General features: G+C 51.6%; 2 protein-coding genes and 1 pseudogene across 30 annotated transcripts in view, besides 8 other annotated features; 2 read left to right on the forward strand and 1 right to left on the reverse strand.

Moving 5' to 3' along the window:
• The window catches only part of STAG3 (STAG3 cohesin complex component), a 41,611-nt gene extending 29,585 nt beyond the window's left edge, over nt 1-12,026 (forward strand). For 8 of the 23 annotated variants that reach the window (XM_017011685.2, XM_047419787.1, XM_047419786.1 and 5 more), the window contains 5 exons: nt 3,703-3,877; nt 4,127-4,231; nt 4,487-4,568; nt 6,427-6,498; nt 11,309-11,647. In XM_017011685.2, the coding sequence (XP_016867174.2) occupies nt 3,703-3,877; nt 4,127-4,231; nt 4,487-4,568; nt 6,427-6,498; nt 11,309-11,365 (491 nt within the window). In that variant the 3' untranslated portion in view covers nt 11,366-11,647. Of the gene's footprint in view, nt 1-3,702; nt 3,878-4,126; nt 4,232-4,486; nt 4,569-6,426; nt 6,499-6,698; nt 7,080-11,308; nt 11,648-11,940 lie in introns of those variants that run through there. The other 15 variants (NM_001282716.1, XM_047419796.1, XM_047419791.1 and 12 more) reach the window with 6 other exon arrangements.
• Nucleotides 1-23,384, reverse strand: part of CASTOR3P (CASTOR family member 3, pseudogene) — a 71,580-nt pseudogene that overhangs the window by 6,656 nt on the left and 41,540 nt on the right. The window contains exons 3-7 of one of the 4 annotated variants that reach the window (NR_028039.1): nt 16,574-16,767; nt 16,262-16,390; nt 15,289-15,412; nt 5,739-5,825; nt 4,086-4,686 (exon numbers count right to left, since the gene is read on the reverse strand). The product of NR_028039.1 is annotated as a CASTOR family member 3, pseudogene, transcript variant 3 (transcript). Of the gene's footprint in view, nt 1-1,627; nt 4,687-5,738; nt 5,826-15,288; nt 15,413-16,261; nt 16,391-16,573; nt 16,768-23,384 lie in introns of those variants that run through there. The other 3 variants (NR_028038.2, NR_028040.1, NR_166147.1) reach the window with 3 other exon arrangements.
• Nucleotides 4,180-4,279: an enhancer, noted in NCBI's record as "active region_26346". NCBI's record gives its function as "activates an Ori minimal core promoter by ATAC-STARR-seq in GM12878 lymphoblastoid cells {active_cell/tissue: GM12878}" and the evidence as "EXISTENCE:reporter gene assay evidence [ECO:0000049][PMID:35858748]".
• Nucleotides 10,153-10,282: an enhancer, noted in NCBI's record as "active region_26347". NCBI's record gives its function as "activates an Ori minimal core promoter by ATAC-STARR-seq in GM12878 lymphoblastoid cells {active_cell/tissue: GM12878}" and the evidence as "EXISTENCE:reporter gene assay evidence [ECO:0000049][PMID:35858748]".
• Nucleotides 10,343-10,702: an enhancer, noted in NCBI's record as "active region_26348". NCBI's record gives its function as "activates an Ori minimal core promoter by ATAC-STARR-seq in GM12878 lymphoblastoid cells {active_cell/tissue: GM12878}" and the evidence as "EXISTENCE:reporter gene assay evidence [ECO:0000049][PMID:35858748]".
• PVRIG (PVR related immunoglobulin domain containing) lies at nt 11,940-14,182 on the forward strand. Of its 3 annotated transcripts, NM_024070.3 has the most exons (6): nt 11,940-12,092; nt 12,405-12,720; nt 12,806-13,156; nt 13,239-13,365; nt 13,452-13,512; nt 13,620-14,180. In NM_024070.3, exons 2-6 carry the CDS (start codon nt 12,603-12,605, stop codon nt 13,941-13,943), a joined length of 981 nt encoding a protein of 326 aa, NP_076975.2. In that variant the 5' UTR covers nt 11,940-12,092; nt 12,405-12,602; the 3' UTR covers nt 13,944-14,180. The 3 variants fall into 3 exon arrangements, with proteins under 3 accessions (NP_076975.2, NP_001384175.1, NP_001374063.1); NM_001397246.1 differs by lacking the exon at nt 11,940-12,092 and having other exon boundaries at nt 12,641-12,720; nt 13,620-14,182; NM_001387134.1 differs by lacking the exon at nt 11,940-12,092 and having other exon boundaries at nt 12,641-12,720; nt 13,308-13,365; nt 13,620-14,182.
• Nucleotides 12,531-12,660: an enhancer, noted in NCBI's record as "active region_26349". NCBI's record gives its function as "activates an Ori minimal core promoter by ATAC-STARR-seq in GM12878 lymphoblastoid cells {active_cell/tissue: GM12878}" and the evidence as "EXISTENCE:reporter gene assay evidence [ECO:0000049][PMID:35858748]".
• Nucleotides 12,721-12,790: an enhancer, noted in NCBI's record as "active region_26350". NCBI's record gives its function as "activates an Ori minimal core promoter by ATAC-STARR-seq in GM12878 lymphoblastoid cells {active_cell/tissue: GM12878}" and the evidence as "EXISTENCE:reporter gene assay evidence [ECO:0000049][PMID:35858748]".
• Nucleotides 13,711-13,760: a silencer, noted in NCBI's record as "silent region_18426". NCBI's record gives its function as "represses an Ori minimal core promoter by ATAC-STARR-seq in GM12878 lymphoblastoid cells {active_cell/tissue: GM12878}" and the evidence as "EXISTENCE:reporter gene assay evidence [ECO:0000049][PMID:35858748]".
• Nucleotides 14,181-14,280: an enhancer, noted in NCBI's record as "active region_26351". NCBI's record gives its function as "activates an Ori minimal core promoter by ATAC-STARR-seq in GM12878 lymphoblastoid cells {active_cell/tissue: GM12878}" and the evidence as "EXISTENCE:reporter gene assay evidence [ECO:0000049][PMID:35858748]".
• Nucleotides 14,301-14,400: an enhancer, noted in NCBI's record as "active region_26352". NCBI's record gives its function as "activates an Ori minimal core promoter by ATAC-STARR-seq in GM12878 lymphoblastoid cells {active_cell/tissue: GM12878}" and the evidence as "EXISTENCE:reporter gene assay evidence [ECO:0000049][PMID:35858748]".

Below are 23,384 nucleotides of genomic sequence, written 5' to 3' on the forward strand. Positions count from 1 at the left end.
TACCTACACCAGTTTACAATCCTACCAGCAATGTATGGGGACTCTGGTTTCTCCATGTTGTCACCGGTACTTATTAATGTCTTTTTTTATTTTATCCATCTCCTAGTAGCTGTGAGGTGTGGTATCTCATTGTGGTTTAAATTTGCATTTCCCTAATGACAAATGGTATTGAGCATCTTTTCATGTGCTTATTGACAATTTGTTTATCTTCTTTGGAGAAATGCCTGTTCTGATCCTTTAGCTATTTTAAAATAGGGTTGTCTTTTTATTGTTGAGTTGTAAGTATTCTTTATATATTCTAGACATGAGATTCCTTATGATATGCAAACATTTTCTCCCATTTTTTGGGTTGTCTTTTCGTGTTATTGGTGGTGTCCTTTGAAACACAAAAGTTCTTGAATTTGGTGAAATCTAACTTTTTCCTTTTGTTGCTTGTGCTTTTGGTGCCATATCTTGAGAAATTGTTGGCTAATTCATGAGGTCACAAAGATTTACTCCTGTGTTTTCTTCTAAGAGTTATAGTTTTAGCCGGGCATGGTGGCTCACGCCTGTAATCCCAGCACTTTGGGAGGCCGAGGCGGGCGGATCACGAGGTCAGGAGATTGAGACCATCCTGGCTAACACGGTGAAACCCCGTCTCTACTAAAAATACAAAAAATTAGCCAGGCATGATGGTGGGCGCCTGTAGTCCCAGCCACTCGGGAGGCTGAGGCAGGAGAATGGCGTGAACCCGGGAGGCGGAGCTTGCAGTGAGCCGAGATTGTTCCACTGCACTCCAACCTGGGCGAAAGAGCGAGATACTGTCTCAGAAAAAAAAAAAAAGTTATAGTTTTAGCTCTTAATTTAGATTTGTGATCCAGTTTGAGTTAATTTTTGTATATAGTGTGAGATGAGGTGTGATTTCCTTTTGTTGTCTTCTGTGTACCACCTAAAATTATGTCTTATACCACCAGGAAACTCTGCTTTAATTAATTAACTAATACATAGTTGTTAGGGACCTACTATATGAAAGATACTATGTTCAGTGTTTTAGGGGCCATGAAGAATCCAGCAGCTTATTATCTAATAGGAAAGGGAGAAATTTTAATTATGGAAAACTCGAATTATGAACAATTGCCAATAACTGCCTGAGGGCTTGTACAAGTGAATGCTGTAGAATTCAGAGAATGATGAGAGCTTTACCAAGAAGATGGAATTGCTGGAGCTTAAAAAATAAGTAAGATTTTTATAAGCTGAACAGAGGAAGGAGGAGCATCATGGGCTGGCAGAATAGCACAAGCAAAGCATAGAAGGCTGTGTGCTGGGCGAAGCATGGAGGTACATAGATCGCTCTGCCTAAAGCGTAGGGTTTGTGAAGGCAAGATAAAACTGAAGAGTTTGTTTTTATTCATTCAATAGATACTGAGCACCGTGTGCTGGGAATACAGCAGTGAACAAAAAAGCTAAACATCTCTTTCTTTAGAGAGTGTCAGATAGTAGTAAATACTATGGCAAAAAAGCAGGGAGGATTGTGAGGAATGCTGGCGGGGTGGGGATTGCAGTCTTACAAAGACTGATCAAGGGAAGACTCAACACAAATGTTGGGCAAAAAGCCTAAAAAATAAGTTAAAAGATACACTTAGGCACATTACAATTTTAACAGGTTTATTTGAGCATTCAGCAATTTTATCAATCAGGCAGTGGCAGACCGCCAGCAGTTCAGGGCGCCACCACCGAGGAAACCAGAGGGGACACTTACAAGGTGTCTCTGGGAGCAAGACAAAGAAACTATTTGATTGGTTAGAGTGGAAAGTTCATATTTAGAGGTTAACTGACCATAAATCTCTTGTTAGAGGTTAGTCGGTAGTTTCTGACTGGTTAAGCTGAAGTTTCCTGCTCCTAGGTTACACACAACACTTTCACTCTGAGTTGAGTTTCAGTTTGCTGACTTAGGAACCCAAAGTGCAGGAGCCATTTCAGCCTATTGGCCTCCCAGCGAATTTTTTATAACAGGTGAGGGAGGGTGCTTAGTGTGTATCAGAATAGCATACCAAAGGAAGCAGCCAGTCCTGAGGCCACGAGGGGATGGGGGGAATGTTCCTGGAATGTTCAAGGAACAGCAGAGAAGACCATTATGGCCAGAATGCAGATTGTAGGACATGAGACCAAAGAGGGTACAGGATCCCAGAGCATCTAAGGCAGAGACTGGCTTTTACTCTGAGTGCAGTAGGAAAACCATTGGAGGATTTTGAGGAACGACAGGATCAACCTCTGTTTTTAAAGGATCCTTCTGGCTGCTGTGTCGAAAACGACAGGAGATGGGGGAAGGCTAGAAGCTGGGAGACCAGCAGGGAGGTTGTGGCTGTTGTAGGAGTCCAGCCCAAGATGCAAGATAAGAGAGCTTCTTAGGCCGGGGGCAATGGTGGAGGTGCCGAGAAACGGCCAGATTCTGGGTGCATTTTCAAGGTATCTCTAATAGGCTTTTCTGACAAACTGGATGTGGGATGTAAGACAAAAAGAGCAGTTGAGGATGGCTCCAAGGATTTTGGCCTGACAGAAGGATGGAGTTGACAGTATCTGAGATGGGGAAGGCAGAGAGTGAAGATAGCTGTGGGGGAAGGTTGGGGCATTGGTGTTGGCCACAGGATTACAGGTGGAGATGTTGAACAAACCATGGGGGCTGTTAAGATGGAGTTCAGGGGAGAGCTGAAGGCTTGAGATCCCTTTGGGATGTGGCAGAGTATAGGTGATATTTAAGGACATGAACGTGAGTGGCTGGGGAAGCCAGTGAAGATGGAGAAGAGGAGAGACTCAAGGGCCCAGCCCTCGGGCATCACACCATTAATAGCTCAGGGAGATCAGGAGGACACATCTGGGGCCCCAAGGTTTCCTCTCTGGGAATCCAAGCCCAGGGGTATGTCTCTTCCCTGTTTTCTGTAGCCCTCTGCTTAAACCCATAGGCTGAGCGCTCACTTTGGGATTATTGTTTTTAGTGGAGAAGGGGGGTAATGGGAGTGTGACTGTTTACAGTTAACAGATGTTAATGTCAATTTGACTGATGCTTTAAAATAGTATTGCCTGGGTTTTCTCAGGCAGTGAGAATCTTTGGATTCTTTCTCCTCCTCTACCTTCTCCAATCTCTGCAGGAGATAAGTCCCCCTTCATATCATATCAGTTATACTGGCATTGCAATCACTTCATTTTTTTCTAGCTTTTAGAAAATCCTGTCTCCCATTTTCCGGTTCCTCCCTGGCCCTCATTTGTCCACTCTAGCCTCTGGTACCAAAACTCTATTGCCATTTACAGCTTTTTCTGACCACAGAAATCTTGGATAGGATCTCAGATGTCTTCATTGGCTAACTCAGACCTCTCAATCTTAGAGACTCCAACCCTCCCTCATGTTTGTGTTCACCTGTTCACCTGTTACAGTTTATCTGTGAAATGTATATTTATATATCTTTCCATCTTGTTTTCTAGGCTGTGTAGCAAGTTCTTCTTGGACAAGGCCTAGCTACAATTCTCTAAGCCTTACTTTTTGGTACATAGGGCTATGTATTTAGTACATAGGGCTATGCCCATTTGAGGGCAACAGAATGAAGCTGTATAAGTTTTCCATTCTCTTCCTGATTGACTTTCCCTTACTAAATCCTGGGCAGGTCTTGGAAAGAGAGCACACCTGTCGCAGGCCCTGGGCTGTGGTTAATGTATGCATCTGCTTGGCAGGGCCTGCCAAGCCTAACAGAGAGGACGTCTCCTCGTCCCAGGAAGAAAGTCTGCAGCTGAACAGCATCCCGCCCACGCCCACCCTCACCTCCACAGCTGTGAAGAGCAGGCAGCCCCTGTGGGGGTTGAAAGAGATGGAGGAAGAAGATGGCTCAGAGTTGGATTTTGCCCAGGGGTGAGGCCATGGAGGGAATCTGGGTGTCTGAGTTCCCAGTTTGGTGTCTGGCTGCCTCCATCTTGCTGTTTCTGTTTCATGGTTCCCTGCTGTAGCACTCCCACATTGTTGGGTTCTTCTCAAACCCTTCTCCATTGTTTAGCTTTAAAATGCATCTCTCTGAGCTTTTCTCCCCATTAACACCAGCTGCCTTACATCCTCTTCTTACCCTTGATTTTTATCCCATCATTGATCCTGCTTCATTCCCAGCAGTCAGCCCGTCGCAGGCACCGAGAGGTCAAGGTTCTTGGGTCCACAATATTTCCAGACTCCACACAACCCTTCAGGTCCTGGCCTGGGCAACCAGCTGATGCGGTGAGCTTTTCTCATCATCTCCTGTCTTCACTTCAGATCTGTCGCCCACTGTGAGGGGATTCCTGTCTCACCCATTGCCTCTCTGTGGGTGCTTTTTGGACTTGTTTTAGCCACAGAGCACTTCCTGTCAGCACAATCGGGAAACTACTATGCTGTACTTACTGCTCCCCACTTCCCCCACCCCGGGTGTCTGAGAAACTCTCAGGGGTCCTCAAAGAACAGTTTGAAAAGCCAGTCTCTTTGCCCCTACATCAGACTCAGCCTTATGGAAGAGGACGAGGAAGAAGAGTTAGAAATCCAGGATGAGTCAAATGAAGAACGGCAGGATACAGACATGGTGAGTAGACCACCCTGCCCTTCTCTCTCAAGAACTAGGGGCTGATGTGCCAAAGAGAAGCCAGGGTGTTTCCCCTCTCTCCGCTCGGTGATGCCTGGTCTGGAAAAGCTGAATGAATCTAGAGTAAAGGAGGACAGGTTATATGTTGGTTTGGACTTTGCTTGGACTCTACTTTTATTAAAGAATAAGGAAAAGAAATTACAAATACCAAAGAAGGTTGGAATAGCACTCTCGCTCCCAATCCCTAAATAAATATTGTTGCCTCCGAACCCCCTAGGAATTGGAAGGAGTCCTAATGCTGGAGGTGGGAGGTCATTCAGTCCAAGTGGCAGCCCCTTCAGTGTCTCTCCCCACAAAACATGACCCCCTATCCTCCATCTCCCTACTAGAGGGCTTCCCCTCCCTGTCCCTTCCCTCACTCCCTTTCTAACCTAGCCTGTTTCCCCAGGAGGAACTGCTGCTGGTGTAGTGGGAAAAGCCTGGCATTTGGAGTGAGGTGACATGAGTGCTAGTCCTCAACTCCATGTCAAGTTAGCGCTTTTACCCCTCCTCAGCCTCCATTTTCTCATCTTTATTTTTTAATTATTTTTATTTTTTGAGGTAGAGTCTCTCTTTGTCACCTAGGCTGGAGTGCAGTGGCATAGTCTCGGCTCACTGCAACCTCTGCCTCCTGGGCTCAAGCAATTCTCCTGCCTCAGACTCCCAAGTAGCTGGGATTACAGGCACGCGCCATCATGCCCGGCTAATTTTTTTTGTATTTTTAGTAGAGACGGGGTTTTGCCATGTTGGCCAGGCTAATCTCGAACACCTGACCTCAAGTGGCTCCACCTGGCTCAGCCTCCCTAAGTGCTGGGATTACAGGTGTGAGCCACTGCGTGGGGCCCATTTTCTCATCTTTAAAACAGAGCTGTTAGCCTGTAGTTCCAGCAACTCGGGAGGTGGAGACAGGAGGATCAATAGTCCAGGAGTTGGAGTCCAGCCTGGGTAACATAGTAAACACGTGTCTCTTAAAAAAAAATCAACAATTCAAAAATAAATAAAATGGACCTTTTACATAAAATATAAGGTAAAACCACCTTATAAATGGAAAAGGGCTATGTCTGAGTTCAGGCTACTGTAACAGAATTCCATAGACTGGTGTCTTACAAACAGCAGGTATGTATTTCTCACAGTTCTGGAGGCTGAAGTCCAAGGGTTGGGTTCTGGTGAGGGCCTTCTTCCAGCCTGTAGACTGCTGGCTTCTAGTTGTATCCTCACCTGGAGGAGAAACAGCAAGCTAGCCCTCTGGCCTGGGCTTAGAAGGGCATTCATCCATCCATGAGGGCTGCACCCCTATGACCCAATCACCTCCCAAAGGCCCCACTTCCAAACAGCATCACACTGGGGGAAGGATTTCAATATGTGGGTTTAGGGGGACACAGATATTCAGTCCATTACAGGCTGCGTATCTTCTGCTGTTATTCTTCTGTTCTCTTCTCTGCAGGGAAGGAAAAAGAACAGAATAGAACAGAACAGGGGAGTCTTGTGCTCAGAAGGAGAAACCAAACAATGATACCTTCAAACCAGAGACTAGAGAGCAAGGCCTCTGTTAAAATATTATTTCCTAACATCTCAGAAAAAATCCGTTTTCTGGTTTCCAAAACAAAGTCATTTAAGGGGCTCAGTCAGCAGGCCAAGAAGCGCTCTGCAGTCAGGCCTGATCCTGGTGCCCACACTGACTTCCCTCCCAGGAGGTGCCATAGGGGCCTGCTGTGCCCATATTTGTTCTTATGAGGCTGGGAAAGGAACTGGTTTTTTTATTTGCGAAGTGACAGGAGTGTGTAAAGGCCTTTTTGACTTTTAACCTCATTCTCTCTAGCAAGCAAGTAGCTACTCTTCCACCAGTGAGCGCGGGCTGGACCTCTTAGATTCTACAGAGCTGGATATTGAGGTGAGTGTCCCCAGAGCAGGAGTTATGTATCCTTCGGAAATGCTGGCAGGCAACCCGTGCACTCATCAAATTGACAGGCCATAGCCTGGGGGTGGCCCTCTGGGCTGTCTCTGGGGCTTTGAGGGTAACCCAGGGGAGGATGGTCTGCCCATTGGCCCGTTGCTGTGTCCTGTGTATTCCTTTCATCTTTCTCATTATAGGATTTCTGACAGGACTCTGGGCCCCTCCCCAGCTCCACTCCCTACCTCAAGAATGTGACCATTTGGAAAAGGCAAAGAGAAAAGGAGCAAAATGAAGCATTCCCCCAGGCTTCAGCCCTGGGCTCTGAGGGGAAAGAGTTGGGCATTGTTTTTCTAACCTAACCTTTCCCTCTGGGGTAGAGAAGCCGAGAGACCCTGTCCTCCCTAATGCACTGTGGCCCAGTCCCCTTGCCTTTTTCCTGTTCTGTTTGGAGTGGAGAAGGGCAGCACCTCTGTGTTTAATGGAAATAGCCCATAGTCTCCTGGATTTTTGGAACATCTTTCTCAGCCTATTTTGTGTCCTAATGATTCGCTCAATAAACATGTTTGAATCCACACGTTCCCAAGGTGTGGCTTGAGATCGTTAAACTGATGGAGGTCAGGTTCTTGGTCCGCCTTGTCCCATGGCCCAGCATATAGATGTCCCCACACCCTGCAGGTGCTTTGTCTACAGGCTCTCCAGGAAGTATTGCTTAGTAACTGAGAGGTGGGGTGAGGCAGTAGAGATGGGGAGAGTTTGACTGCCTGTGAGTAGTTTATCTAGTGGCCACAGCCTCTGCAGTAGTAAAAGTTGTGCTGACAGGTGGCAGAGTGGAGCAGGACCTTGTGAAGCTACCTGTCTCACCCATGTGAGCCAGGCCAGGCCATGTGTCCTGGCAGCCTTCACCCACGGGTTCTTTCCAAAGGAAATTTTATCCTCATCCCAAAGATACCTGTCATAATTTGGAATTTGATCAAATCACAGTATCTGAGAGTTAAAAGGAAACTAAGGAGTTACTCTAAATGTCCAACCCTAAAATCCAAGTGACAATGTCACCTTCACTCTTGCCTTCTCCAGCTAGTTCTTCACCAAATTCTGTCAAGACTTGGTGAAGAAAATTCTCTGGCCTATGTCCTCCACACATTGTCACCATCGTCTCTCACCTAGACTGCCACAGTGCAGCCTCAGGGCCAGCCTCTTGAAACTCAGACAGACTTGTTTGCTCTTGTTTTGCCTTGTGGAGCAGCACAGCACCTCTGTTCTCTCTTGTCCCTCTGACAAGCAGTATTTGAAGACGGCTGTTGTCATTTTGTACTTTCACTGTTTTCTTCTGTGGTTTAAGGAATGCTTCAGCCTCTCTCTTTAGATAAAATTTCCAGTTCTTCCCATCATGGGCACCTGCTTTAGTGACAGGTTCTCACTGTGGTCTCCTAGGTCAGACACAGCCATCCAGCTAGTGATGTGTGCAGAAAAAGCCGTGACTCCCTGCAATCAGGTCACTCATCCAAGACCACCTCGCCCCTTTCATTCTCCCTCCCCGCCCCCACCTGCCCCTCCCAGATGAAAGCTATAAGAAATTGGGTTGAGTCTCCTTTTGGAAAGGTAGCCCTCGGGGAGTCAGAGCTGGGGTGTGGGGGAAGGCTAACTCATTGAGCGATCTTTCGCCTGTATTCAGGTAGAATAGTTCTGGGGAAAGGAGCCTGTTTTGTGGGATGAGGGAACAGAGTGGGAGAACTGAGGAGAAGATGTGGAGGTCTCTCAAAATCCAGGAGGGGAAAGATTCCTGAATTATTTAAATACTAACCAAGCTAAGGGTGCTTCACAAGAGGATAAGAGCAGCTTGGGGGCTTTGCATCAATATGGACACCTGTGTACAGCCAGGCAGCCCAGTGCACTGGGTTGAGTCACAGCCTTAGAATCTGGGAGCTTGACACCATGCTCTCTAAAGCCTTTGACACTGTTTATTGAGAGGCTGGGTCTAGGTTGTCTCCTCTTGAATATGGGCTTTGTGATGCTTGACTAATAGAAGATGATAGAAATGATGCCATGCTAGTTAGTGGGCCCAGATTTTAAGGAAACTGGCAGTTTCCGTTTCCTGTCTCTTCCTGTACCTGGGTTCACACTTGGAACCCGGTCACCATTCTGTGAGCAAGGCCAGCAGCCAAAGGAAAAGGCCACGTGTAGGTGTTCCTGCCAGCAGTCCTCACCGAGGTCCCAGCCAACATCCATGTTGGCTGCCAGATTCAGTCCAGATGGGAGTCAGATGATTCCAACCTTCCCTGTTTTTCAGTTTTCCCAGCTGAGGTCCAGGGATCAGGGAGCAGAGACAGCCCATCTTTTCTGTGCACTTTCCAAATTCCTGATCGTGGAGCCCATGAGCATAGTAAGATGTAAAGCACTCAGTCTGGAGGGGTTTGTTATGTAGCCATAGCAACCGGAACAGGGCCTTAAGAGTCATAAGACTCCCAACTTTTGGACATTTGTATCAGTTTTTTAAAAAATTGTAAGTTATATAAACATATACTAATTCTTCTATATTATACACATTTAAAATGTAACATGAGTTGACGAAATAAGTGTTTTAAAATATTTCATTGGTTAACACTGCAAAATGCCTTTTTGCTCTTAAAAAAGGGCTTAGAGCAAAGTGAGAAACATTTTTTAAAATCATGGTTCAACATTTTCTGAAGTTCAGTTGAAAGTTCAGTTTAGGGCTGGGTGCGGTGGCTCAGGCCTGTAATCCCAGCACTTTGGGAGGCCAAGGCGGGCAGATCACGAGGTCAAGAGATTGAGACCATCCTGGCCAACATGGTGAAACCCCGTCTCTACTAAAAATACAACAAAATTAGCTGGGTGTGGTGGCATGAGCCTGTAGTCCCAGCTACTCGGGAGGCTGAGACAGGAGAATCGCTTGAATTTGGGAGATGGAGGTTGCAGTGAGCCGACCCAGCAAGACTCCGTTTCAAAAAAAAAAAAAAGTTCAATTTATTCTGATACTTTTAATGACCTTCATAACTGCCAGGAGTACCTCTCAAAAACAGGCAAATCAAGTGGATTAGGTGCCTCTTTGCAGTTACCGCTTTTTAAATAGATCCAAACCCGCTGAAAATCTTCATCTAGAAGACTTGTGAACAGGTCAGAGGATGATTTCCCGGCACAGACAACAGTGCTCTCATGAGGACAGGCATTGTCTGGGAGCACAAAACCTGAAGTGTGTGAGCTGCAGTGTGTGGTGATGGGCTGGGGGTTTGCCTCTCTTCCCTCACAATACTGATCGTATTCCAAGGGAATCATGACTTACAATGTTTTTATCTACACTTGATCTTGGCCAAAAGGCCAAGAAGCGATACTGTCTTTTTGTCTTAAAAGGTTAGAATGTTTCTTTATTTCTACTGCACAACATCTGTGGATACTTTTTTGTGCACGCCCTCACCCTGACAGGCTCAGCTGTGAAGGGTTCATGCCAGCAAGCCCCCTGCTGGCCGTCCAGGACAGCCCAGGGCTCTGGCTTCTCAGCAGCACCTCCCACTGGCCAGGCCCAGGCCAGGCTGGACGAGCTGAGGCCAGCTTAGGTAGCAGGCATGGAGGCCTTTGCCCAGCCTGGTAAGTGATGCAGAGCAGTGCTTTTCAGGGGTGGCACTGTAGATGTCCAGCCCTACTAGGTCTGTGGGTTTTTCTCCTCCTGTGCGGAGATGAGAGATGGTAGAAATGAAGACACAAGACAAAGAGATAGAAGAAAAGACAGCTGGGCCCGGGGGACCACTACCACCTAGACGCGGAGACCAGTAGTGGCCCTGAATGCCTGACCGCGCTGCTATTTATGGTATTCAAGGCAAAGGGGGCAGGGTAAGGAGTGCGAGTCATCTCTATCGATAGATAAGGTCACATGAGTCACGTGTCCACCAGACAGGGGTCTTTACCTTTTAGGTAGCCGAGGCGGAGAGAGAGAGGACAGCTTACATCATTACTTCTTCTATGCTCTTCTCAGAAAGATCAAAGACTAATACTTTCACTAATTCTGCTACTGCCATCTAGAAGGTGGAGCCAGGTGTACAGAGCGGAACATGAAAGTGAAACAGGAGGGTGACTGCTGAAGCACAGCATCACAGGGAGACGGTTAGGCCTCCGGATGGCTGTGGGCGGGCCTGACTGATGTCAGGCCTTCCACAAGAGGTGGTGGAGCAGCGTCTTCTCTAACTCCCCCAGGGAAAGGGAGTCTCCCTTTCCCGGTCTGCTAAGTAACAGTTATCTTCCCAGGCACTGGCACCACTGCTAGACCAAGGTCTGCTAAGTAACGGGTGCCTTCCCAGGCACTGGCATTACCACTAGACCAGGGAGCCCTCTAGTGGCCCTGTCCGGGCATGACAGAGGGTTCACACTCCTGCCTTCTGGTCACTTCTCAGCATGTCCCTTCAGCTCCTATCTCTGTATGGCCTGGTTTTTCCTAGGTTATAATTGTAGAACAAAGATTATTATAATATTGGAATAAAGAGTTATGCTATAAACTAATGATTAGTAATATATATAATCATAGCTATAATCTATTTCTAGTATAACTATTCTTATTCTATGTATTTTCTTTATTATACTGGAACAGCTTGTGCCCTCGGTCTCTTGCCTTGGCAGCTGGGTGGCTTGCCTCCCACATGGCACTGCTGGGCATTGTCTGTTAATATTGAATAATTGTTTTAAGATTATTTTCAATAAGGCTTTACCTTTTTTAACTTGCACTGTGGCCATGAGCTCTGCTGGAAGTGACTTGTTGGTGTTATCTCCTCAGTTATAAAGTGAAGGGATTTTTCTTTTTCAGATTACTGAGAGTCTTCCGTTACTAGGTAAGTCACCGCATCCTTATAACTCCAGGTGACACTGACTGGGGTTTATGGGATGAAAGAGGAGTGTGTGCTTGGATGATGGGGTGTGATAGTGAAGGGGTGAAAGGTTTCTTCTCACACATAGACATCGTGAGGTCTTCCTTGAGCTCTTTAGAGCCTTCCCTCGGGATAGGATGAAATACTGAGATCCTAGAAAGGATTCACAAAACGTGTCACTCATCAGCGCAGATTCACCGATTCACCCCTAGATGTGTGTGGGATTTGGATGGCAGAGAGAAACAGGCACTGAAGATTTTTGGTCAGGACAGGGCAGAGAAATAAGAAGAGTTGAAAATTCACCAAAGGATAGATAAACCCAGGGCGTTTAGAGAAAACCTGTAGTGTGCAAAGGAGCCCAGAATCCTGGGGCAACTTGGAGGGAAATATACTTAATTTGATTCACTAAGTTAGGCCCAGTGAAGGGATTGGGTGGCATAGGTAGAAGCCGAAAAATAAAGTATCTTGTATTGCTGGAGTAGCCTCTGTTTCTGAGGTCACATCCAAACTTAGCGAGGCAGCTTAACCTGGTGAGAGACATGGGTTCAACTCCTGGCTTCTGCACTGCTAGGGCAGAGGACTGCTGTTTGCTGACACAATCTTGGTGCGTTGGAAGTGAAAGGGAAGAGGCACTGGTGGCTGTGCTTTGGGCCCGAGCAGCCAGAAGCCAGTTGCCATCACCTATGACGAGGAGACAGCGCCTGGGGCAGAGCCCAGTATGGGGTGCGTTCAGGGTAGATCAGGAGGTATGAGTGGGTAGTGGGCGAGCCAGGCTGGGGGTTGTGGGGGAGGCCTGCATTGCAGGTGTAAGCGTGGGACCCACATCAGATTGGTAGTGGGTCATGCATGCTGGGCTGGCTCTCAGGTCCTCCCTGCTGGCTTCCCACTCCCAGGGGCTTTCTCCTCCGATTCCTTAGCTGGGTGAGGGGCGGGACAGAGCCCTTTCTTAGGGAAGCCCGGCACCCCTTGCTGTCCAGGGAAGGGGAGTCCTTCTAGCCCCTGACAGCTTCTCTGCCCCTCCCCTGGCCTCCCCAGGCCTAGCCAGGGCTGGGTTCTCACCCACCTGTGCCGCCCTGCCTTGTTACCTGGAAGCACAGCCTTGGGGACTGAGCAGGCCCTCACTGTCACTTTAAGAAGGGAATCAGCCACTTTGTGCTCACCACCTCTGGGGAAGGTGTGAGAGGAGAGAAGGAAGTGGCTGTTTGGCTGCTGACAACATGAAGACTTCCTGCGATGAGAACAGAGGCACAGGTGCCGGCCCTGCAGCCCCCAGAACCTGGACTGGAGGGGGCCATGGGGCACCGGACCCTGGTCCTGCCCTGGGTGCTGCTGACCTTGTGTGTCACTGCGGGTGAGTGCCGGCACCAGAGAGGGGCAGGGGCTGCAGGGAGGGTGATGTAGGACAACAGCCCACCGACCTTGCTGCTGTTCCACAGGGACCCCGGAGGTGTGGGTTCAAGTTCGGATGGAGGCCACCGAGCTCTCGTCCTTCACCATCCGTTGTGGGTTCCTGGGGTCTGGCTCCATCTCCCTGGTGACTGTGAGCTGGGGGGGCCCCAACGGTGCTGGGGGGACCACGCTGGCTGTGTTGCACCCAGAACGTGGCATCCGGCAATGGGCCCCTGCTCGCCAGGCCCGCTGGGAAACCCAGAGCAGCATCTCTCTCATCCTGGAAGGCTCTGGGGCCAGCAGCCCCTGCGCCAACACCACCTTCTGCTGCAAGTTTGCGTCCTTCCCTGAGGGCTCCTGGGAGGCCTGTGGGAGCCTCCCGCCCAGCTCAGACCCAGGTGGGGCCGGGGCGAGGGGTCCAGGAGGGCAGGGAGGGGCTCGGGAACTGGCCACCCATCTGATTCTTGTCTCCGTGCCCAGGGCTCTCTGCCCCGCCGACTCCTGCCCCCATTCTGCGGGCAGACCTGGCCGGGATCTTGGGGGTCTCAGGAGTCCTCCTCTTTGGCTGTGTCTACCTCCTTCATCTGCTGCGCCGACATAAGCACCGGTGAGACCTGGTCCCTGTCCACGTCCCCCTGACACTGGGATGGCCACATGCCCTGCAGAGCTCTGACCATCCTTGCTCTCTCCCAGCCCTGCCCCTAGGCTCCAGCCGTCCCGCACCAGCCCCCAGGCACCGAGAGCACGAGCATGGGTGAGGAGGGGACCTGCTTTGGGGATGAGGTGACAGGGGCAGGGGCAGGGGGGCCAGGGCTGGGCCCAAGCTGTGCAGACTCACTTGACCCTCCTTCCCCCGCGCAGGCACCAAGCCAGGCCTCCCAGGCTGCTCTTCACGTCCCTTATGCCACTATCAACACCAGCTGCCGCCCAGCTACTTTGGACACAGCTCACCCCCATGGGGGGCCGTCCTGGTGGGCGTCACTCCCCACCCACGCTGCACACCGGCCCCAGGGCCCTGCCGCCTGGGCCTCCACACCCATCCCTGCACGTGGCAGCTTTGTCTCTGTTGAGAATGGACTCTACGCTCAGGCAGGGGAGAGGCCTCCTCACACTGGTCCCGGCCTCACTCTTTTCCCTGACCCTCGGGGGCCCAGGGCCATGGAAGGACCCTTAGGAGTTCGATGAGAGAGACCATGAGGCCACTGGGCTTTCCCCCTCCCAGGCCTCCTGGGTGTCACCCCCTTACTTTAATTCTTGGGCCTCCAATAAGTGTCCCATAGGTGTCTGGCCAGGCCCACCTGCTGCGGATGTGGTCTCTGTGTGTGCGTGTGTGGGCACAGGTGTGAGTGTGTGAGTGACAGTTACCCCATTTCAGTCATTTCCTGCTGCAACTAAGTCAGCAACACAGTTTCTCTGATGTCGGCCTCGGCTGTGCTTCTTCTTTGGGGGTGAAGAGAGTGGGGAGGCAGTCTCCACCCCTGGGAGGCAGAAGCCAGGTGAGAACCAGAGTGGGTTGGGGCCTCATTGCAGGGCTGGGGTTGGCCCAGGGAGAGGGCAGTGTCCCAATCTTAGAGATCTGTCCTGGCTTCTCAGAGTGGCAGGGGTGTTGGGGGAGCTTCCTGAGGGACACCTGTGGCTGCCTAGATAGGGCTGGGGGATCCCAGTGGGATGGTCTCTGCTCCAATCCCACCATGTTCTAGGACAACAGCAAGGGTTCCTGGGGCTTTGGCCTGAGAGAAGTCCCTGTGGTTTGACCTGGCTTCCCTCTGCTGGGCTCCCTGCTGTGGCCTGGGCTGGGGTCCTGATGCCCTCCTTCCACAGCTGGCGTTAGGCAGGGTGTGGAGAGTAGGGGGACTCACCTGAAATCTTCCCTCAATCACTTCCCCCGCCTCCTCTCGGGGAAGGCAGAGGCCTTCACAGACATGGGGGACTCCCCACAAAATGTTCCATCCAGAGCCAACCTTTCTGCTTGGTAGAGCTGTGTCTCCCCCTCAGCCTAGTTCCAGGGCGGGTCCGTGTCTCCCACCCCAAACTAGTTCCAGGGTGGGTCCCTGTCTCCCACCTCAGACCAGCTTTGGGGCTGGTCCGTGTCTCCCCCTTCAGACTATCTCTGGGGCAGGTCCATGTCTCCCACCTCAGACTAGCTCCAGGGCAGGTCTGTGTCTCCCCATTTAAACTAGCTCTGGGGCGGGTCCGTGTCTCCCCCATCAGACTAGCTCCGGGGCGGGTCTGTGTCTCCCACCTCAGACTAGCTCCAGGGCAGGTCCATGTCTCCCACCTCAGACTAGTTCTGGGGCGGGTCTTTGTCTCCCCGCTCAGACTAGCTCTGGAACGGGTCCTTGCCTTCCCACTCAGATTAGTTCCGGGGTGGGTCCATGTCTCCCCGCTCAGACTAGCTCCAGGGAAGGTCTGTGTCTCTTCCCTCAGATGAGCTCCTGGCAAAGCCTCCCCCGTCAGACTAAGACTCCTAGGCAGAGCCGTGCCTCCCCCTGGTCCAGCCGGCGACCCCTCATGCCCAAGGCAGCCCTACCCATTGAAGTAGGACATGACATCCATGAGGAGTGTGGCAACAGCAGGCAGCGTGTCGGGGTCCAGGCTGGTGACACAGAACCTGTTGCTCGGGCTGGACAGTGGGTGGATGACCGGCATCTGGACTGTAAGAGCACAAAGATGTCAGGCACTGAGGCTGGGACTGAAAGCAGCAGCTCTGGTGAGTGCAGGGCCTGGGAAGAGGGCTGGGGAGGGCTCAGCCGCAGGCCCTGAGAGACTCATTCACTGCTGCTTCTCCAGCCTCTACCACCAATTACCACCGTCCTGATTCTCCATCTCACTCTCAGGCCCCTGGGCCTTTGCACATGCTGTGCTGGCTGCCTGGGATGCCCTTCCCAACTGGCACCACCTGGCCCCGTTCCTACCTGTGTTCCAGGCTTCAGCACCACAGTCCCTGCCCAGGGAAACCCACCCTGACACCTGGGATTGCAGCAGGAGTGGCCTCTGGCCATTGCTGTATGCATGCACGTCCACCACCCTTGCTAGACATGGCAGCAGGGCCTGCCCAGGACCTTTCCATCACATTTTTTTTTTTTTGAGATGGAGTTTTGTTCTTGTTGCCCAGACTGGAGTGCAATGGCACAATCTCGGCTCACCGCAACCTCCGCCTCCTGGGTTCAAGTGATTCTCCTGCCTCAGCCTCCTCAGTAGCTGGAATTACAAATATGCACCACCACACCCAGCTAATTTTGTATTTTTAGTAGAGACCAGGTTTCTCCATGTTGGTCAGGCTTGTCTCAAACTCCTGACCTCAGGTGAATTGCCTGCCTCGGCCTCCCAAAGTGCTGGGTTTACAAGCATGAGCCACCACACCTTGCCCTTTGCATCCCGTTCTGCCTGGCACTCCATTCATGCTCAGTGGGCAGAAGCCCGTGCTGAGAGCAAGGCTGGTCTACGGCTTGGCCTGGTAACTTCGTGAGGTTTCCCCGCACAAACCCCCGCCCCCAGCTCACCCAGCTTGGGCTTCACGAAGCCACTGGTGATGCCGAGGTTCTCGGCTGCTACAGTCTAGCCACTGACCACAGGATGGTGAACTCTGATGACAACGTGTGGGTGACAAAGGGCAGGTCCCGCTTGAGCACCTAGGGGCAAGAAGTTGAGGCTGTGTGTGCCTGGTGGCCCTGGGGCACCAACCTCTCACCCTGAGACTCTGCCCCCACCCTGGAATAGCGTGGAAGGGCAAGGCTGCAAGGGGTGGGAGATGGGAGTGAGTGTGTCAGAGGCGGGCCCAAGTGTGCAAGGCGTGTCTGTGATGGTCAGCTCACCAGGATGAAGTCTGTCTGATACGTGGACAGCATGAACACGGATATGTTCTGGTCAGCCAGTGGGGCGATGACTGACTTGGCGATCTTGGTCATGCCAATAGGCTGGGAGCTGGAGAAGCTGCCACCGCCGGACACCACGTTCAGGGCCAGCCAGGTGGCATCCGCCACACTCAGGTGCTCCGAGGAGGGCAGCTCTGGAGGGAGACACAGAAGGCAGCCCTGTGACTGCTGAGGTTCCAGCTGTCCCAAGGGCAGGGCAAGGTAGGCCAGAGAGGTGGAGAGTGAGGCTCTGGGGCCAGCTCTACCCTGTGCCTTGCCTCACTTTCCAACAGGATTTTTTTTTTTTTTTTTTTTTTGAGACAGTCTTGCTCTGTCACCAGGCTGGAGTGCCTGGAGTGGTGCGATCTCGGCTCACTGCAACCTCTGACTTCCTGGTTCAAGTGATTCTCCTGCCTCGGCCTCCCAAGTAGCTGGGATTACAGGCACGTGCCACCATGCCTGGCTAATTTTTGTATTTTTAATAGAGACGGGGTTTCACCATGTTGGCCAGGATGGTCTCAATCTCTTGACCTCGTGATCCGCCTGCGTCAGCCTCCCAAAGTGCTGGGATTAGAGGCGTGAGCCACCGCACCTGGCTGGATGGGATTGTTTTTTGAGAGAGTCTTGCTCTGTCGCCCAGGCTGGAGTGCAGTGGTGCAATCTCGGCTCATTGCAACCTCCACCTCCTGGGTTCAAGTGATTCTTGAGTAGTGGAGATTACAGGTATGCACCATCACACCCAGCTAATTTTTGTATTTTTAGTAGAGATGGCATTTTCCCATGTTGGTCTGGCTGGTCTCGAACTCCTGATCTCAAGGGGTCCTCCTGCCTTGGCCTCCCAAAGCGCTAGGATTACAGGCGTGAGCCACTGCGCTCGGCCTTCAACAGAATGGGATTTGAATCAAAGGCTGCTTCCTGGGAGGACTGGGCAGGGAAGGCCCTCAGATGACACAGGACATCCCCAGCAGCTTAGCAGAGTAGGAGCCATGTGGGCAAGTGGTTGATCTGCGCCAAGCCTCAGTTTCCTCAGCCGTAAAACGATGGCATCAGTAGTGGGTAATGCCCTTATCTTTAGTTCTTACAACCCTTTTGTGGGTCTGATGCTGTCATCACGCCCATTGTCTCGCGTGCAACTGGCTTTCAAACTGGGTTCCTGGAGACCTCCCAGGAAGGCTCTGGGTGGAGGGGAGGCCAGGAAAAGGCTGGGTGGGGCTTTGGGGTTTCTCTTCCCCCTTCAGCCAGCCCTGCACATTGGGCTTCTCTGGAAGAACAGGCAACTCCAGGAGGGCCCCTGAAGAGGCTGCATCATGGGGGGCAGTGACTGTCACCCATGTCCCTCCTGAGAGCCTGGAAGTCCCAGGGGCTGGCAATGGCTTTGGCAGGCGGGGGAGTCCACAGCAGCAGCAACTGCTAAGCCTCCTTACCTAGCTCATGAAAACCCAGAATCCAAACGCTGGAGCCATCCCTTCCACCCTGTCCTACAGACAGAGTCCCTGAGTAGCCCTGAACGTGGGACACAGGCACACACTATGTGTGACCACACCCAGCCGCAGACTCGAGCCCAGGCTGCATTTGGGGCTCTTCATACATCACCAGGCACCTGCATAAACCCACCTAGTGCCAGGCCCTGAGTGGGGAGGGGGCACGGCACAGGGAGGTGAACTCTGACACTGCATCCCACAAGGAGGCAGGATTTTTTTTTTTTTGAGATGGAGCCTCACTCTGTCACCCAGGCTGGAGTGCATTGGCATGATCTTGGCTCACTGCAACCTCTGCCTCCTGGTTCAAGCAATTATCCTGCCTCGGCCTCTCGAGTAGCTGGGATTAGAGGCACCCACCACCATGCCTGGCTAATTTTTGTATTTTTGGTAAAGATGGGGTTTCACCACGTTGGCCTGGCTGGTCTCAAACTCCTGGCCTCAAGTGATCCACCCACCTTGGTCTCCCAAAGGGCTGGGATTACAAGCGTGAGCCACCGCGCCTGGCCAAGGCAGGGTTATTTTGCTCACTGTACACTCAACGGTCCAGAAACTCTGGACCTGGAAGGCTCAGTGATTTGCCGAAGATCACTTAGGAAATAACAGAGCCAGGATTCCAGTGTGGGTCTGGCTCAAGAACCCAGGCTCTATTTTGGGCACCAAATGAAAACCACCAAGTCCCTAAGAAAATAGGGGGCTAAAAAGAGAGGTGCTGAGGCTGGAGGCAGTGGCTCACGCCTGTACTCTCATTGCTTTGGGAGGCCAAGGTGGGAGGATCGCTTGAGACCAGGAATTGGAGACCAGCCTGGAGAACGTACTGAGACCCCATCTCTAAAAAAATTAAAAATAAATGAGCCAGGCGTGGTGGCACATGCCTGTGGTCCCAGACGCTTGGGAGGCTGAGGTGGGAGGATCGCTTGAGTCTGGGATTTCAAGGCTGCAGTGAGCTATGACTGCACCACTGCACTCCAGCCTAGGTGACACAGCCAGACCCTATCTCAAAAAATAAATCGATAAAAAGGGAGACAGGGGCTCAGAGATGGGTGAGCTAAGGCAGCTGTGATGATGAAGATTCCTGGGGAAAGACGAGCTGGGCTCTGCTGGCAGGCAAGATGGCCTGAGAGGAGGGAAATTGAGTGAGGCCCATGCCTGTTCCTACCTGCCCAGCTCTGGTCACCATGGTGACCACAGCCCAGGGAGCCCATTGGTCCCGCTGGCTGAGAAGGACCAGTGGTCAGCCAGTGGGTGGCTAGAGAGGCAGGCAGCTGCACAGAAATGGGAAAAGGCGGCCCCAGTCTTGAGCAGTGGGAGGCCTGTCTCTTATCAAAGCCGCAGGCTTCGGACTCCGAGGGGCCAATCCTGGCTCTGTCCTCCCCAGCGGAAGCGGCTGCTGATATAGCCTCCGAGGTGGTGAAGTGCTGGGGTGCATATATGCACCTTGAGGGGGTGCTGACATAACCAAGACTCTGCCACTAGGAGTCTCTTGGCAGGTTTGGACGAGACCCAGAGTGGTCTTGGGGAGAAGCCCAGGCCTGAGACCAGCTGGAAACATGGCTGTGGGGGAAGAGGCGGCTGCTGCTGGCTGGAGGATTTCAGGTCAATCAGCAGCTGGCCAGGAGCAGGCAGCCTGTCTGATGGATTGGTCTACCCGCCCTGCTCACAGCCTCCACCCTGGGAAGAACCCAGAGCTGCTGCTGCTTTTTTTTTGAGGGAGAGTGTCTTACTCTGTTGCCCAGGCTGGAGTGCAGTGGCGCGATCTCGGCTCACTGCAACCTCTGCCTCCCGGGTTCAAGCGATTCTCATGTCTCAGCCTCCTGAGTAGCTGGGACTACAGGTGCATACCACCATGCCTGGCTCTTTTTTTTTTGTATTTTTAGTAGAGAAGGGGTTTCACCATGTTGGGCAGGCTGGTCTTGAACTCCTGACCTCAAGTGATCTGCCTGCCTCGGCCTCCCAAAGTGCTGGGATTACAGGTGTCAGCCACCTTGCCTGGCCACCTCTCCACCTTTTGATCAGTCACTGCCTGCTGACCATGCCTTGCCACGCGTGGCATGGACCACAATGATGTACTGCTGTTCCCAGTTCACAGACAAGGGGACTGTGATGGGTGAGGGCTGGTGATGTGGAGCCTAGATAAGCACTGGGCCCCTCTAACTCCAAGTCTAAGCTTCTACCCATTACCCAGAGGCTTCTAACGTTATTCTGAATCTGTCAGGACACCTAGCACTGCACACAGTGCTCATTAAATACTTAAAAGAGGCCAGGTACGGTGGCTCATGCCTGTAATCCCAGTACTTTGGGAGGCCAAGGCAGGCAGATGATTTGAGGTCAGGAGTTCAAGACCAGCCTGGCCAACATGGGTGAAACCTTGTCTGTACTAAAAATATAAAAATTAGCCGGGCGTGGTGGTGAGTGCCTGTAATCCCACCTACTCAGGAGGCTGAGGCATGAGAATTGCTTGAACCCAGGAGGTGGAGGTTGCAGTGAGCAGAGATTGTGTAACTGCACTCCCAACAGGGGTGACAGAACAAGACTCGGTCACACACACACGTAAAAAATCAGAATATACACATGTACAAACCCCTCTGTCTGCCACACAGACATACTGCATCCATTTGAGCCAAGACCTTTTTTTCTTTTTTTGAGACAGGGTGTTGCTCTATCACCCAGGCTGGAGTGCAGTGGTACAATCATGGCTCACTGCAGCCTCAACCTCCCAGGCTCAAATGATCAGCCCACCGAGTAGCTGGGACCACAGCCATGTGCCACCACACCAGATTAATTTTTGTATTGTTTGTAGAGACGGGGCTTTGCCATGTTGCCCAACCTGCTTGAACTCCTGGGCTCAAGCGATCTACCTGCCTCAGCCTCCCAAAGGGCTGGGATTACAGGCATGAGCCACTGTGCTCAGACCAAGAATCTCTTAACAACGTTCACATTGAACAAGGAACTCTGCTGGCTAATGTCATTTACAAGCCATCCCCTGCCCTCCCAGGAAAGACCCAGCATCCACTGAACCATGGCCAGCTGCTAGCTTCTAACTATCAAAGCTGCCAGTGAACACACACCCTGGCTCATTTTAAGAGTGGCAGAAGAGGCCCTTTGGTGGGAAGCAATGTTTGCAGCGCTGGAGGTTTGCAGAACGGGGGTGACAGGGCACCAGCCTTCATTCCCCATGCCAGAGCCAGCATCCTTCTTCCGGGGTCACGCCTGTAATCCCAACACTTTAGGAGGCGAAGGTGGGAGGACTGCTTGAGGCCAGGAGTTCCAGACCAGCATAGGCAACATAGTGAGACTCCTCTACAAAAAAACACAAAAACTAGCCAGTGGGCTGTGCGCGGTGGTTCACGCCTATAATCCCAGCACTTTGGAACTTTGGAAGGTTGAGGCGGGTGGATCACTTGAGGTCAGGAGTTCGAGACCAGCCTGGCCAACATGGTGAAACCCTGTTCCTACTAAAAATACAAAAATTAGCTGGGCATAGCGGTGCATGCCTGTAGTCTCAGCTACTCAGGAGGCTGAGGCAGGAGAATCGCTTGAACCCAGGAGGTGGAGGTTGCAGTGAGCTGAGATCGTGCCACTATACTCCAGTCTGGACAACAGAGCAAGACTCCATCTCAAAACAAAACAAAACAACAACAAAAAAAAAAATCCCCAAAACTAGCCAGTGGGCCAGGTGCAGTAGTTCATGCCTGTAATCCCAGCACTTTGGGAGGTCGAGGCAAGAGGATCATCTGAGGTCAGGAGCTCAAGACCAGCCTTGCCAGCATGGTGAAACCCTGTCTCTACTAAAAATACAAAAAAAATTAGCTGGGTGTGGTGGTGCATGCCTGTAATCCCAGCTACTCACGAGGCTGAGGCAGAAGAATCGCTTGAACCTGGGAGGTGGAGGTTGCAGTGAGCCAAAATCGCGCCACTGCACTCCAGCCTGGGGACAGAGAGAGACTACCTCGAGAAAAGCAAGCAAACAAAAACTAAACTCTCCTTCTGAAGCAGAGCGTCCAAGGAGATGAGGGGTACAGTTGTCCTCCTAGTCTCATACTGTAGCCCCTAGGCCCACCCCAAATCCTGCCACAGCCCCCTGAGAGTCTTCTCAGACTGTCCTAGGCCACACATGGTGGTATACTGTCTTCTCCCATTACTTTCTGGCAGCACTTTCTCCTTATTTAGGCTAGAGGCGCCTTGAGAGCATTTCCTACTTTCCTTCCTGGCTTGGTTGTCACTCACTAACTCTGGGCAAGTTAATGTCTGCTTGCTTTCTCGCTTGTAAAATGGGTCTTTACTCTTTTTTTTTTTTTTTTTTTCTTTTGAGACGGAGTCTCACTCTGTCCCCCAGGCTGGAGTGCAGTGGCGCGATCTTGGCTCACTGCAACCTCCACCTCCCGGGTTCAAGCGATTCTCCTGCCTCGGCCTCCCGAGTAGCTGGGATTGCAGGCATGTGCCACCACACCCAGCTAATTTTTTATTTTTAGTAGAGACGGTGTTCCTCCATGTTGGTCAGGCTGGTCTCGAACTCCATTTTTTTTTTTTTTTGAGACAGAGTTTTGCTCTGTTGCCCAGGCTGGAATGCAGTGGCGCGATCCCGGCTCACTGCAAGCTCCGCCTCCCGGGTTCACGACTTTCTCCTGCCTCAGCCTCCCGAGTAGCTGGGACCACAGGCGCCCACCACCACGCCTGGCATATTTTTTTTTGTATTTTTAGTAGAGATGGGGTTTCACCATGTTAGCCAGGATGGTCTCAATCTCCTGACCTTGTGATCCACCCACCTCCGCCTCCCAAAGTGCTGGGATTACAGGTGTGAGGCACCGCGCTCGGCCTCGAACTTTTTTTTTTTTGAGATGGAGTCTTTCTCCATCGCCCAGGCTGGAGTGCAGTGGCATGATCTTGGCTCATTGCAGCCTCTGCCTCGTGGGTTCAAGCGATTCTCCTTCCTCAGCCTCCTGAGTAGCTGGAGCTACAGGCATGTGTCACCATGCCCAGGTAATTTTTGTATTTTTGGTAGAGATGGGGTTTCACCATGTTGACCAGGATGGTCTTGAACTCCTGACCTCAGGTGATCTGCCTGCCTCAGCCTCACAAAGTGCTGGGATTGTAGATGTGAACCACTGTGCCTGGCCAAAATGCTAATATTTTGGCAGCACTTTGGGAGGTCAAGGCAGGTGGATCACTTGAGTTCAGGAGTTTGAGACCAGCCTGGTCAACATGGTGAAACCAAACCCCACCTCTACTAAAAATACAAAAAAATTAGCCGGGCATGGTGGTGGGTGCCTATAATCCCAGCTACTCAGAAGGCT

The sequence above is a fragment of the Homo sapiens genome, chromosome 7, assembly GCF_000001405.40.
Source record: "Homo sapiens chromosome 7, GRCh38.p14 Primary Assembly".
NCBI lineage: Eukaryota > Metazoa > Chordata > Mammalia > Primates > Hominidae > Homo > Homo sapiens.

What these genes read in the sequence shown, in the direction of transcription:
- PVRIG (NM_024070.3), top strand. Translation starts at nt 12,603, where the DNA reads ATGAGAACAGAGGCACAGGTGCCGGCCCTGCAGCCCCCAGAACCTGGA. An exon ending in GACCTTGTGTGTCACTGCGG is followed by an intron (nt 12,721 to 12,805) that starts GTGAGTGCCGGC and finishes GCTGTTCCACAG; the next exon opens with GGACCCCGGAGGTGTGGGTT. An exon ending in CCCGCCCAGCTCAGACCCAG is followed by an intron (nt 13,157 to 13,238) that starts GTGGGGCCGGGG and finishes CTCCGTGCCCAG; the next exon opens with GGCTCTCTGCCCCGCCGACT.